Raw genomic sequence first — 13,607 nt, forward strand, 5'->3', positions numbered from 1 at the left:
TTTGTCAGAAAAATGTGGAACACTTCATGAATTTGCATGTCATCCTTGCACAGGGGCCATGCTAATCCTCTCTGTATTGTTCCAATTTTAGTGTACGTGCTGCAGAAGTGACCACTTATGTTGTATTTTTATCACATAAAATGAAACTGTACTGCAATGGGCTGGTAAAAATGACATAGTTCTAGTTAGTCCAATAAAAGCAAACAAGGCCTCTGAATTTGGGTAATGCAAGAGGCATAATACAGAGCTAATACTGGCTGTGCTCAGTGACTCACACCTATAATCCCAGCCCTTTGGGAGGCCAAGGAGGATGGATCATTTGAGTCCAGGAATTCGAGACTAGCCTAGGCAACATGGTGAAACCCCATCTCTACAAAAAATGCAAAAAAATTTGCTGGGCATGGTGGCACACACTTGCAGTCCCAGCTACTCAGGAGTCTGAGGTGGGAGGATCACCTGAGCCCAAGAGGTCAAGGCTGCAGTGAGCCACAATCACACCACTGCACTACAGCCCAGGTAAGAGTAAGATTCCGTCTCAAAAAAAAAAAAAAAAAAAAAAACAGAGCGAATATAATACAAGTGGAAAACTCTTTTGGCAGACTCATTATGACAAGCAAAAATCATATCAAGAGTTGTGAGAGAGACTAAAGGCAATATGGAACATAACATAATCAAGAGAAATATTCAAAGTAAAAATTACTAGAACACCCTGAATAAAACCCTAAAAGCTCTCTCCCCTATCCAATTATATTTTACTTCAAGTTATAAATAAGAAATAAGGAAACAGTGAGATAGGAGTTTGAAAGAAAAACCTGGAAAAAAACTTAAATGGTCTTCAAAGCCAGATACAACACACCCCCATCTACTCACAACCACACATACACCCGATTGTCCCCCTTCTATCCCATGTTACCTTGATGCCAAGTCTTTCCAAACTGATCTACAGCTTCAATGCATTCCAATAAAAATGCCAACAGAGATTTTAAAGGTTCTAAATTTATATGGGAGGGCAAAGGGGAAAGAATGGCTAAGACATGGTCTAAAAGAAAAACTAGAAGGGAGGAGGGTAACTTGCCTATTGAGATACGAAGCCATAGTAAAGAAGATAGTAGGGTTCTTACAGGGTTAAATAAATGGACCAATACAACAGAAGAGAGAATTCAGAAAAAAAATCATGCTTATAAGGAAACTTGGTATCTTACAGTGATAGCACAGTAAGAAGAATGTTTTATTTGAGTAGAGCAACTATTTTGCCATATAGAAAAAAACACTGAAAATGGATCCCTACCTCAAACCATAGGAAAAAACTAATTCCAGATCCTTTACATTTAAATGCAAATAAATGGCATATTTATACTTGAAATATTATACACTATATAATGAGAATGAACAAACTACTAATGAATGAACTATGTATATGTAATACGGATAAATCTTAGAAATTATAATGCTGAATAAAAAAAGCAAGCCATGCTAGACTACATACAGGATGAATCCATTGTTATAAGCCCAAACACAAGCAAAATTAAACAATAATTGTTTAGTGATACACATACATGCGATTTAAAAAAATGTTTAGTGCAAGGGAATGATAAACATCCCTTTTGTGGTTGGTGAGAAGTATACAGAGAAAAGAAACAGAATTGGTCATTTTCTAGTTTTTAGTTTTAACGATGGATTCAGAGATGTCTGATTTATTATATATGCATAACATATATTACATTTATTCTTTTGAATAAGTGTAATTTTTGTCTTTAATTACACACAAATAGCATACAGAAAAGAATGATTAATATTCCTGAAGCAACATCAAAAGACTCCATGAAAGAAACCTCATTTTTGCCAGCCATAACTGGCAGGTGAAAGAGAAAAAAGGAGAGTGGGGAAAAAGGTCAAAATCCAAGCACAGGGGACAGCATAAGCCAGGGAAAAGAGGCATGAAAACACAACACCTTCTCCGAGATGAGAGAAAAGCTAAAATAGTATGAATAAAAGTAAGTTGAACTCTACTCTAATTAAGAGTTGAAGAAAAGATTATGGAAATTAGGAGACCAAATTTGAAAACTTCTTTTTAAATGGTCAAGCAAGGCTTTTATAAAAATAAGTAGATTGGGAATTGAATAAATAAAATTAATTGTGTGGTAAACAAATGTTCTAAAGGAAACATTAAAATATTCTAAAAGCAATTATATTTAGAGAGGAAAACATTTTCTAAAATGTAGAAATAAAATGACAAACTCCATAAGCAGACAAGATTTTAAAATTATCTTTTAAGATATGATTATTTTAAACTGCTGTATAGAAATAGGTTTTCATTTTGTTCTTTTTCCTCTCCCTTGTCACTCTGGAGGAAATAAAAATAACACATATGCTTCTTTTAAAGATCTTCCAGAAAAATCCTTCTTAATCATCAAAAGACAGAAAGCCAGGCAGGAAAGAAGTATGACATAGCAACACTACTTAACGTTCCATGGATTTTCTACAATATCATCTCAGAAGGCCTACTATCATCCTCACAACTGCCACTGCTACTACAGGAAGGGCATTATAGGTTTTAAGCAAAGAACCTTGTACATAAGTAAAAACACAATAAATGTTTGCTAAAAAATAACTACAGAATGAAAATCAAAATATTTTTGCCCTGAATAGAGAAAGGAGAGGGGTATAAAAAGGGCAGAAGAAGAGAGTCCTGAGACAAGCTGCACAGAGGAAGCCTTCAGCCAAGAAAGAGACAATCTTTGTCTGTTATTGCTTATTTGGACCAGACTCTGGAAATGGCCTTATGCCCAAAATTCTGTGTTACAGATCTTTGTTCAATAAGCTTGAAACAAGGTCCCAATCAACTTCGAAGTTAACTTGATTCAGAATGACCCATATACACACCATAAAATAGATCTATTTAGAAAAGATGAGCTGCAAAATCAGACTCTGGTGGAAAAACAAAAACCACTTGGATCAGAATTATTCTGAAATATTTTGGCCTGGGAAAAACTGAATCTGTCACTAACATTCTGGCCCACGTCTAATTTTTTAGTACTTCCCATGACATTTTTCTGTCTCCTCCTCGCCTGCTTAATTATATAAGACAAACTACTAAATACTCTATGTGGTAATTACATACCCACCTCAAAAAGGAAACTTTTTTGCCTAATTTAGTGATAATCATTTTTTATCCAAACTAGAATCTAAGCTAAATATGAGCTTTTAATAGAACATTAGATCACAGTTGATCTTCTAAGCACCAGGTCATGAATTTGAACTTAATTCTTCAACCTACTACTTCTTACCTAACAACTAACATTTGTTTTAATATTTCATGAGTGTCTCTCCCTTCTTAAAAAGATGATATATTTAAAATTCTCCAGCCTGGGCAACATAGTGAGACCCTGTGTCTACAAAAAATAAATTGTTTTTAATTAGCCAGGCAAGGGCCGGGTGCAGTGGTTCACGCCTATAATCCCACCACTTTGGGAGGCCAAGGTGGGTGGATCACTTGAGGTCAGGAGTTCAAGACCAGCCTGGCCAACATGGTGAAACGCCATCTCTACCAAAAAATATAAAAATTAGCCGGGCATGACATGTGCGCCTGTAGTCCCAGCTACTCGAGAGGCTAAGGCAGGAGAATCCCTTGAACCCAGGATGCAGAGGTTGCATTGAGCCAAGATCGTGCCACTGTACTCCAGCCTGAGCAACCCTGTCTCCAAAATAAATAAAAATAAAAATAATAAAAATAAATACATTAGCCAGGCATGGTGGCTCACGCCTGTAGTTCCAGCTACACAGGAGGCAGGAGAATTGCTTAAGGAGGTTGAAGCTGCAGTAAACAGTGATCATGCCACTACATTCCAAACTGGGTGACAAAACAAGACCATGTCTCAATAAATAAAAAATAAGTAAAATAAAATTCTCTACATATGTCAGGAAGTACAGTCTAATGACTAAGAGTTGAGTTCAGGAACCAAACTGTGTGGATTTAATAGGTGGTTGTACCATTTACTAACTGTGTGCACATGGGTAAGTTACTTAACCATCCTATGCCCTCAGTTTCCTTACCATACATACGAGATGTAAAAACAAGCAAAAAAACAGTTATCAACTTCACACAGTTACTGTAAGGATTAAATGAAGCAATATATAGAATGGATTTTCAACAGTGTCTGGCATGTAGAAAAATCAATATATGTTAGCTTTTTATTATTATTATTGTTTCCCAGTTCTTATTCAAGTTTTTAACTGAGTTTACCTGATGATATGAAACTAGAAAAAGCTTATAGCCAATAATAAATACAACTCATCTTAGCAATCTTAGACATTAGAAGTTGTTACTTAGGGCCAGGAGTGGTGGCTCATGCCTGTAATCCCAGCACTTTGGGAGGCTGAGTTGGGCGGATTGCTTGAGGCCAGGAGTTTGAGACCAGCCTGGCCAACATGGCGAAATCCTGCCTCCACTAAAAATACAAAACTTAGCCAGGCATGGTGGCGCACGCCTGTAATCCCAGCTACTCGGGAGGCTGAGGTACAAGAATTGCTTGAACCAAGGAGGCGGAGATTGCAGTGAGCCAAGATCGCACCACTGCACTCCAGCCTGGGCGACAGAGCGAGACTGTCTCAAAAAAAAAAAAAAACCAAAAACACCATACCAAGTTACATAACTGTGAAATTTCAAAGCACCACAGTAGAGATTAAATATGCCAAAAGTTTCCAGAGAGAAAAAGATAAGAATATACAAAGGATCTGCAATCAGTGACACATAAGACATCTCAATGACAATATTGGAAGGGAGAAGAAATGAACTATTTCCTTTAAAATATGTTGACTTCTAAAATAAAAAAATTTATTTAACACAGTACTAGAAGTACTAGCAAGAGCCATCAAACAAGAAAAAGAAATAAACAGGCATTTAAATCAGAAAGGAAGTAGTAAAATTATCTCTATTTGCAAATGACATGTTCCTAAATACAGAAAACCCCAAAGATCCCACAGAAAAGATAAAAACACTGCTAGAACTAATGAATTCAGTAAAGTTAAAGAATACAAAATCAACATACAAAAATCAGTAACATTTCTACACACAATAACCCAGATGAAAAGGAAATTAAGAAAACAATTCCATTTATGATAGCATCCAAAAAAAAATACTTAGGAGTAAATTTAACCGAGAAGGTTAAAGATTTGTACACTGAAAACTATAATACACTGATGAAAGAAACTGAAGACACAAATAAATGGACAGATATCCCATGTTCATAGATAGGAATAATTAATATTGTTAAAACAGCCATACTACCCAAAGCAATATACAGATTTAACCCAATCCCTATCAAAATTCTAATGGCATCCTCCACTGAAATAGAAAAAACAATCCTAAAATCCATACAGAGCCACAAAAATCCTAAATAACCAAGGCAATACGGAGAAACTCCAGCCTGGTGACAGAGTGAGACCCAGTCTCAAAAAATAAAATAAAAGAGCTCAAAAGCTTCGTAGGTCTAAGCTGCAATGAGCCATGATTGTGTCACTGCACTCCAGCCTGGGTGACGGAGTGAGACCCAGTCTCAAAAAATAAAATAAAAGAGCTCAAATACACAGAAATAGAGAATGAAACAGTGGTTACCATGGTTATTTTGGGGGGAAAGGAGAGGGAGCTGTGGGTCAAAAGATACAAAATAGCAGATATTCAGAATAAGTTTAGAGATCCATGTACAACACGAGGACTACAGTTAATAAAACTGTATTGTACAGTCATGTGTCACATAACATTTTGGTCAACAATGGACCACATATATATCACACCACATAATAACAATAGTTCCATAAGATTATAATACTGTATTTTTATTGTACCTTTTCTATGTTTAGACATGCTTGGATACACAAATACCACTGTGTTCCAATTGCCTACAGGACTGAGGACAGTAACATGCTGTACAGGTTTGTAGCCTAGGAGCAACAGGCTGTACCATAGGGCCTAGGTATACAGTAGGCTGTACTATCTAGGTTTGCGTAAGTACACTCTATGATGTTCACACAACAAAATGGCCTAGGAATACATTTCTCAGAACATTTCCTTGTCATTAAGCAAGCATGACTGTATTAAGGATTTTCATTAAATAAGTAGATTTTAGGTGCTCATCACTTAACAAAAGTAACTATGTGAAATGACAGATGTGTTTATCTGCTTCACTATAGTAACTAATTTACTGTCTATATGTATTCCATAACACAGCAGTCCCCTTTTTGGCACCAGGGACCGGTTTTGTGGAAGACAATTTTCCACGCACTGGGGAGACAGGCGAATGGTTTTGGGATTAAACTGTTCTACCTCAGATCATCAGGCATTAGATTCTCATAAGGAGCATGCAACTTAGGTCCCTTGGACATAAGGTTCACAATAGGGTTTGCGCTCCTGTGAGAATCTAATGCCACAGCTAATCTGACAGGAGGCAGTAATGTTCGCTGGCCCTCTGCTCACCTCCTGCTATGCAGCCCGGTTCCTGACAAGCCACGGACTAGTACAGGCCAGTAGCTCAGGGGTTGGGGACCCCTGCCATAACGTCATGTTGTAAACCTCAAATATACACAGTAAAATTTATTTTTTAAGTCTAAAGGAAAGTAATTTTTAGTCTAAAACTAAGGACAGTATAGCATAGTGATAACAAGTAGATTCTAAAACCAGACTGCCTGGTTCAAATGATGCCATTTAATAGATGTATTATCCTGAACAAGTTGCCTAAGCTCTTTGTGTATCAATTTCTTCATCTGTAAAATGAGGTTGTTATAAGAATGAATTAATTCATAGGTGTTCATTTATGTAAAAAGCCTGGTATACAATATGCACTCTATAAGTGCTCTAGAAAGCACGACTAGGGATAGGAAGGGATTGCACTGAATTCCGCTTGTCATTGTAATCCCTTAGGTAGTATGTGACTGGTTTTTAATCACATTCACATATTATCACAGGGAGGAAGGGAGGGAGTTGTAAAATGAAGTCCAAAGATAACAGCTTGGTACAGAAGAGTATCTATATGCCTTTAGCTCAAATGAGATAAGCAGAAACACAGAAAATGTAAAAATGAGGGAGAATCTCAGCAGACAGTCAAGAAGGAAGGCAAGGCATGGTAGGAAAAACCTGATCTGGCTGAATAGTGGGGTCAGAGCTGTAAACCAAGACATGCTGTTCAGATTAAAGAAAAAAAGCATGGCTTGTCGATATCAGAGTAGAACGGAATGTTCATATGAAGAAACTGAGTTTTAATCACAATTAACTGACTTTTCAAAGATGAGATTCACTGAGGGGTTTTGATTGACATTAAAAGCATTTTAAATTAAAGGATAATAGGAAAACAAAGTAACAGACTTTATGTCTTGTTAAAGTCATTATTACCTTACTAATATAAGCAATGCCAACTAGAGCAATATGGCACATTAGATAACCTGAAATCTCTCCCACTAGAAACTACCTAAAAATGCTTGATTTAAAGATGCTATGAAAGCATCTTTTTAAAATTCACAGTCCAAAACTAAAGAGAGTAAAGAAAATCCAGGGAGACTAGGAAAAAGAGAGGACAAAAATTCAGAGCAGAAAACATGAACAAGGCTGCAGCTACTCTGTAGTAGCTTTTTGGCCTCTAGCAAAGGAGCTTGTACTTTTATGCCACATGGGGACAAAATTAAAATACCCTTTGGGCTTGCTGAAGGTGGGAAGTTAGAACTGATATAGCAAAAGGGACTTTGCAGATGTGATTAAGAATCTTGAGACGGGGTGCTATCCAGTATTGGGGGGGGTGAATCAAATGAAATCACGAGGGTCCTTACAAGCCAAAGAGGGAGGCCAGAGGGTCAGTACTGATCAGTGATGCCATACGAAAAAGACTCAACTGGCCATTGGTGACTTAAAGATGGATGAAGGGGTCATGCGCCAAAAGTGCAGGTGGCCTCTAGAAGCTGAAAAAAGGCAAGGGAACAGATGCTCCCCTAGTGCTTCTAGAAGGAACACAGCCCTATCCACATATTAATTTTAGCTCAGTGAAACCCATTTCAAACTTCTGACCTCCAGAACTGTAAGATAATAAAGATATGTTATAAGCCACTAAATTTGCGGTGATTTGTTACAGCAACTATAGGAAACTAAGGCGCACACACTGAGGTGGGGTTGGGGAATGTTCTAGAAAGTATACACATTTCCATGAAGTTTTCAGGTTCAAAAAGTATAAATAGTCCTGGACTGACGGCATCCTAGAACACTTAGCAGAACAGGGAATATACCTTCAGCTTAGCTTATCAATGGTATATCCCTTAAGTGGCACAGAGATCTCAACACATGAGATCTTAAAATAAGCTTACAACACAAATTTACAAAACACATAAGGAAAAAAATTCACCACAAGCAGGAGTCAGCATGTACACATGTAACAAATCTCCGAAGGAAGTTAATCCAAAAGAAAGAAAGGAGAAAAAAGAGACAGAACAGATGACATAAGTAGAAAACACAAAATGATGTTGTTTCATTTGAATTCAAATATATCATTAACTACATTAAATGTAAATTCAATAGTACTCCTATTAAAATAAGTATCACTGTATTTTTGTGAATCCAGTTATATGATTTCTTAGAAGAGGCAATTTTTTTAGCTTTTTTCCAGTTCCATCTCCCAAAGCTCTGTCATCCAGACAAATCTTTAAAAACAGAAAAAAACTGCAAGAATAAAAAAGATATATTCTGCATATTAATATATAGTATATTAATATAATATCGAGAACTATAATCAGAAAAGATTCTTAGAGGCAGAGTGTCCTGTATTCCATAATTATGCTGCATTTTCTCAAAAATATTTTAAAATACATTTAAATACTCAATGAAGGCTTTATAATTTACACTGTGCTCTTCAAAAAGAACAAACCAAAAGCAATAAAGAAGCTGCTTGCCAAGCTTCGGGGGAGGGGGGAAATTAGAAAAAATGAGCACGTGCAACTGCACATAAAACTGCAGGTGGCTAGAAAGGAAACCAACTGAAGGGGAAAAAATCTAAAAATAGGCTTAGAACAGTGATTCTGACTGCCTTCGTTTGGATTTTCAAATCATTTCAGAGCTAAAACTGAGAGATGAAATGTGTACAATTTGTTTTAACCAAGAAGGCTATTTTAGAAATAAGTTCTGCCATAATTAAATATACTTATTTATGCGTTAGAAGTTCAAGTACCATTTGCAATTCAAAACCCAAAGAATTTTTCAATTAGAAATGATCTTAATGACAAATTATAGCAAAATCAATTATTCCCAATTAATTGAAAAAAATTCCTCTGACAGTACATTTTGCTGCTCTCTTTCAAAATATTTTTAGGGACATCACATCTTGATGGGCATGCCAAGTTCTCTACAGGCTTCCTCTAGATTTCCATATTATCACAGATTCTAAAGACACAAAACTAAAAACACTTGGAAAACAATTTTACAATATAAACCACAAAAACGTAAAAAAAAAAAAAAAAAAAAATTAAGACAGTGGGAGCAGCTTTTAAATAGGAAACTACTGCCTTCAAAAAGTCATCCTTAATATATCACCTGAATCGGGCCGGGCGCAGTGGCTCAAGCCTGTAATCCCAACACTTTGGGAGGCCAACCTAGGTGTATCACCTGAGGTCAGGAGTTCAAGACCAGCCTGGCCAACATGGTGAAACCCCGTCTCTACTAAAAATACAAAAAATTAGCCGGGCATGGTGGCGTGTGCCTACAGTCACAGCTACTCAAGAGGCTGAGGCAGGAGAATCGCTTGAACCCTGGAGGCAGAGGTTGCAGTGGGCCAAGATCGCGCCACTGCACTCCAGCCTGGGGGAAAGAGTGAGACTGTGTCTCAAAAACAAAAACAAAACTCCTGAATCTAATCACAAGGAAGCATTACACATACCCATACGGAGACACATTCTACAAAACAACTGGCTATAAATTTTCCAAAGTATCAAGGTCAGCCGCGCACGGTGGCTCACACCTATAATTCCAGTACTTTGGTAGGCCAAGGTGGGAGGATGGTTGAACCCTCCAGTTTGAGACCAGCCTGGGAAACATAGTGAGAACTCATCTCTATAAAATAAAACAAAAAAATAAGGCAGGAGGATCATTTGAGCCCAGGAGGTGGAGGATGCAACGAGCCATGACAGGACCATTACACTGCTGCCTGGGTGACAGACCAGGACCTTGCCTCAAAAAGAAAAAATCAAGGGGCCAGGCACAGTGGCTGACGCCTGTCATCCCAGCACTTTGGGAGGTCGGGAGTTCGAGACCAGCCTTACCAACATGGAGAAACCCCATCTCTACTAAAAATACAAAATTAGCCAGACATGGTGGCACACGCCTGCAATCCCAGCTACTGGGGAGGCTGAGGCGGGAGAATCACTTGAACCCAGGAGGCAGAGGCTGCGGTGAGCCGAGATTGTGCCATTGCACTCCAGCCTGGGCAACAAGAGCAAAACTCCATCTCAAAAAACAAAGGATCAAGGTCAGATGAGGTCAAGAGAAGACTGAGGAACTGTGCCAGACTGAGGAAGATGAAGGAGACATGACATTTAATGTTTCTGAACTGGATCCTTTCCTATGAAACTACTGGAACAACTGGCATACTTGAATGGAATTTGTTGATTAGATGGTAGCAATGTATCAGTGGTAATCACCCGACTTTGATGAGCGTAATACGGTGATGCAGTAAAATGTATTTGTTTCTAGAAAATACACACCATCGTGGCCGGGCACGGTGGCTCATACCTATAATCCCAGCACTTTGGAGGCCAAGGCAGGCGGATCACTTGAGCTCACAAGTTTGAGACCAGCCTGGGCAATATGGCAAAACCCTGTCTCTACAAAAAATACAAAAATTAGCCAGGCGTGGTGGTATGCACCTGCAGTCCCAACTACTTAGGAGGCTGAGGTGGCAGGATGACTTGAGCCCGGGACGCAGAGGTTGCGGTGAGCCAAGATCACGCCACTGCAGTCCAGCCTAGGCGATAGGACCAGAACTTGTCTCAAAAAAAAAAAGGAAAAAAGAAAATACACACTACAGTATTTAGGGGCAATGAGAGCATCATACCAGCAAGTTATTCTCAAACTGTTCAAAATAAAAAGCTCTTTTGTCCTATGCCTGTAACTTGCAATCCAATAAAATTTCTCTAAAAAGATACACTGATTTTTCATTAACTGAAGTAAAGAATTCTAATGGCCCTAAATTCTGCATCATACTCCTCCAAAGAGATGATGTGATTATCCTTCCACTCTAACATCCTTCCCTGTTATTTGTTGGATAAATGCATGCATGCATGCTAGACAATGGGAATAGAGCAATGACCATAATAGACCTCCTATGGAAGGCACATACCGAACAATCAGACAAATAGCTATATAATTCAAATAATAAATGCTATGAAGGGAAAGTATAGGATGCCACAAAAATAGTTAACAGAGACTCCTAATAGCATGTTTGCTGACAGGAAACAGGTCAGAAAGGAGAAACAGGGGAAAACCACCCTTTTAAAAAAGTTAGGTTAATAAGAACTAAACGAAGAGTGGGCATTAGCTAGGTGATGCATGTCTGTAATAACATATGTCAAGACACTAACATGGGAGAGAACATTTGTTATCCCTGGAAGTTAAAAGTCTAAGAAGAGTTAGGACAAGGCAAAAAATTAAGGCAGGCGCCAGATGCCAGACCTTTAAAGAACCTTTAAATGCCATTAAAAGTAATTTAGGATTTTTTCCCTTGTAGTCACTAATTTTCAAACCTTTTTTATTATTCAACCCTAATTTCAAATCAAGTCTTACAGAGACTCTCAATATATAATATAAACTAAAACAGCACTGTCCTATCTAAAGTGGGTAGAGTGCTTTAGAATTTCACCGACTGAGGCTCCTGTTTACCTAAAATGAGGGCAAAGGCAAAAACAGGCAATTGTTTGAGAGAGAGAAGGCAGTATCACAAATAATACATGTTGGGGATATACTAGCTAGACTTCCAATCAAAAACTAATACAATAAATCAATGACAATCATTCACAGAGCATTTACATACAAAGGAAGTAAACACAATGGAGTGATGAGGGGAAAGGGGAAAACATGGTAAATATAGGAAGTAGCGCTAACAGCAGGAGCAGTACTTCTAAATCCAAATGGCAAGGGGTGGGAGAGATTACAACAATGTGGAACAGAAAGTCACACAGAGAAGACCACCTGGAGGAGGCAGTACCTGTGTCCGGACACTGCCAACCCAAGGTAACCTCACAGCGAAGAAACCAGGGAAATAAATATTCTGAATTGGCCTTTCTCACTGCTTCCAATCTACCTGTTTTCTACACTAGCTGAACTGTGATCCAAGTCACAGATACTGATTGACAAAATCCATACAAGTAAGCCTACCGGGCACAGAACAGGAGAGAAAAAGGAAAGCATAGATCAGGAAGATCAAACAGAAGCTATCTGTCATGCAGGAGTATATATAGAAGTACTAGGAAAAATCAAACCTAGTGTTCTGGGAGCAAGGAAAAGGTTTCCATTAGGCAGAGACAATTAAGACGAAGCCTAAACAATGAGCAAGAGTTAGGCAGAAGAAATAGGGGAGACAGACATTCCAGGCAAAGGGACTAGCACTACAAACATACACTTCCAGAAGAGTAAATAAATTAGGATGTTTGAAGCACAGAATATGAGGGAAAAAAAGGGAAAAGAAGAAAACTAGAGCAGCAAGGGGAAATAAGATCAATCTTTTATACCATGCTTCCCTTCCCTTTACCTTTAGGCTAAAGGCAAAGTTTAAGAATTGACATGACCTCATCTGACAGAAATGGGTGTGGGTTTTTAATAAAAGTAACAGGTACAGGGATTTTTTAATGGCTGAAGTCCATTTGCTCTCCTATTTCTTGGTTAAATAGCTCTTGCCTGGTCATTTCACAAGAATTGCAAGGCAGAGTGGAAATGTAGAGAACAATGCAAACACCAGTAATACTAAATTATTACACAAATTCTAATCTACGTTATCCTTTTCAATTTCCCAAATTTTGACTTTTTCAGGAAACAGGCAGGCAAAAATGTTTAGTGATCACATTAAGTCATCTGTTTAACATTCTGAACCAAATAATTGATAATTGAAATTTTACACTAGAGTGTATCCATTCTGCTTCAAAATGGAGAATCTTTCTAAAAATAAAATTGACATCGTGCCCTATTTGCAAAGAACTACAGATTTTCTAAAGTGACACACTGAAAATTTAAGAGACTTGAGGATCAACTCCTTGCCAGGCCCTATTGAAGATACTAGGGATACAGTGATATACAAAACAGATAAGGTTCCTGTCATCATTAAACTTAACCTCAAAAGAAAGAATAGCCATTAAATAAGTACGCATACAAATAAACATAATTACAAACCTGGTATGTAGTACAAAGGATGAAGTAAAAAAAAATTCTGCTATGTAGTACAAAGGATGAAATAAAAAAAAAAAATTCTATTATATTAAGAACAAATATAATTGATGACTCTGCAAAAGCAATGTCCAGGGAGTGGAAGGAAACAAAGTCAAATACAATAGATCGGCTGGGTGTGGTGGCTCATGTCTGTAATCCCAGCACT

The 13,607-nt window shown here is 37.8% G+C and overlaps 1 protein-coding gene and 1 pseudogene across 30 annotated transcripts in view, besides 1 other annotated feature; both read right to left on the bottom strand.

The window, feature by feature from the left end:
* ABI1 (abl interactor 1) overlaps positions 1-13,607 on the bottom strand; it is a 114,363-nt gene that overhangs the window by 43,936 nt on the left and 56,820 nt on the right. The gene's annotated exons all lie outside the window — the stretch shown is intronic.
* RNU6-946P (RNA, U6 small nuclear 946, pseudogene) lies at positions 9-115 on the bottom strand (annotated as a pseudogene).
* Positions 68-157: a silencer, noted in NCBI's record as "silent region_2239". NCBI's record gives its function as "represses an Ori minimal core promoter by ATAC-STARR-seq in GM12878 lymphoblastoid cells {active_cell/tissue: GM12878}" and the evidence as "EXISTENCE:reporter gene assay evidence [ECO:0000049][PMID:35858748]".

The sequence above is a fragment of the Homo sapiens genome, chromosome 10 (genome assembly GCF_000001405.40).
Source record: "Homo sapiens chromosome 10, GRCh38.p14 Primary Assembly".
Lineage (NCBI taxonomy): Eukaryota > Metazoa > Chordata > Mammalia > Primates > Hominidae > Homo > Homo sapiens.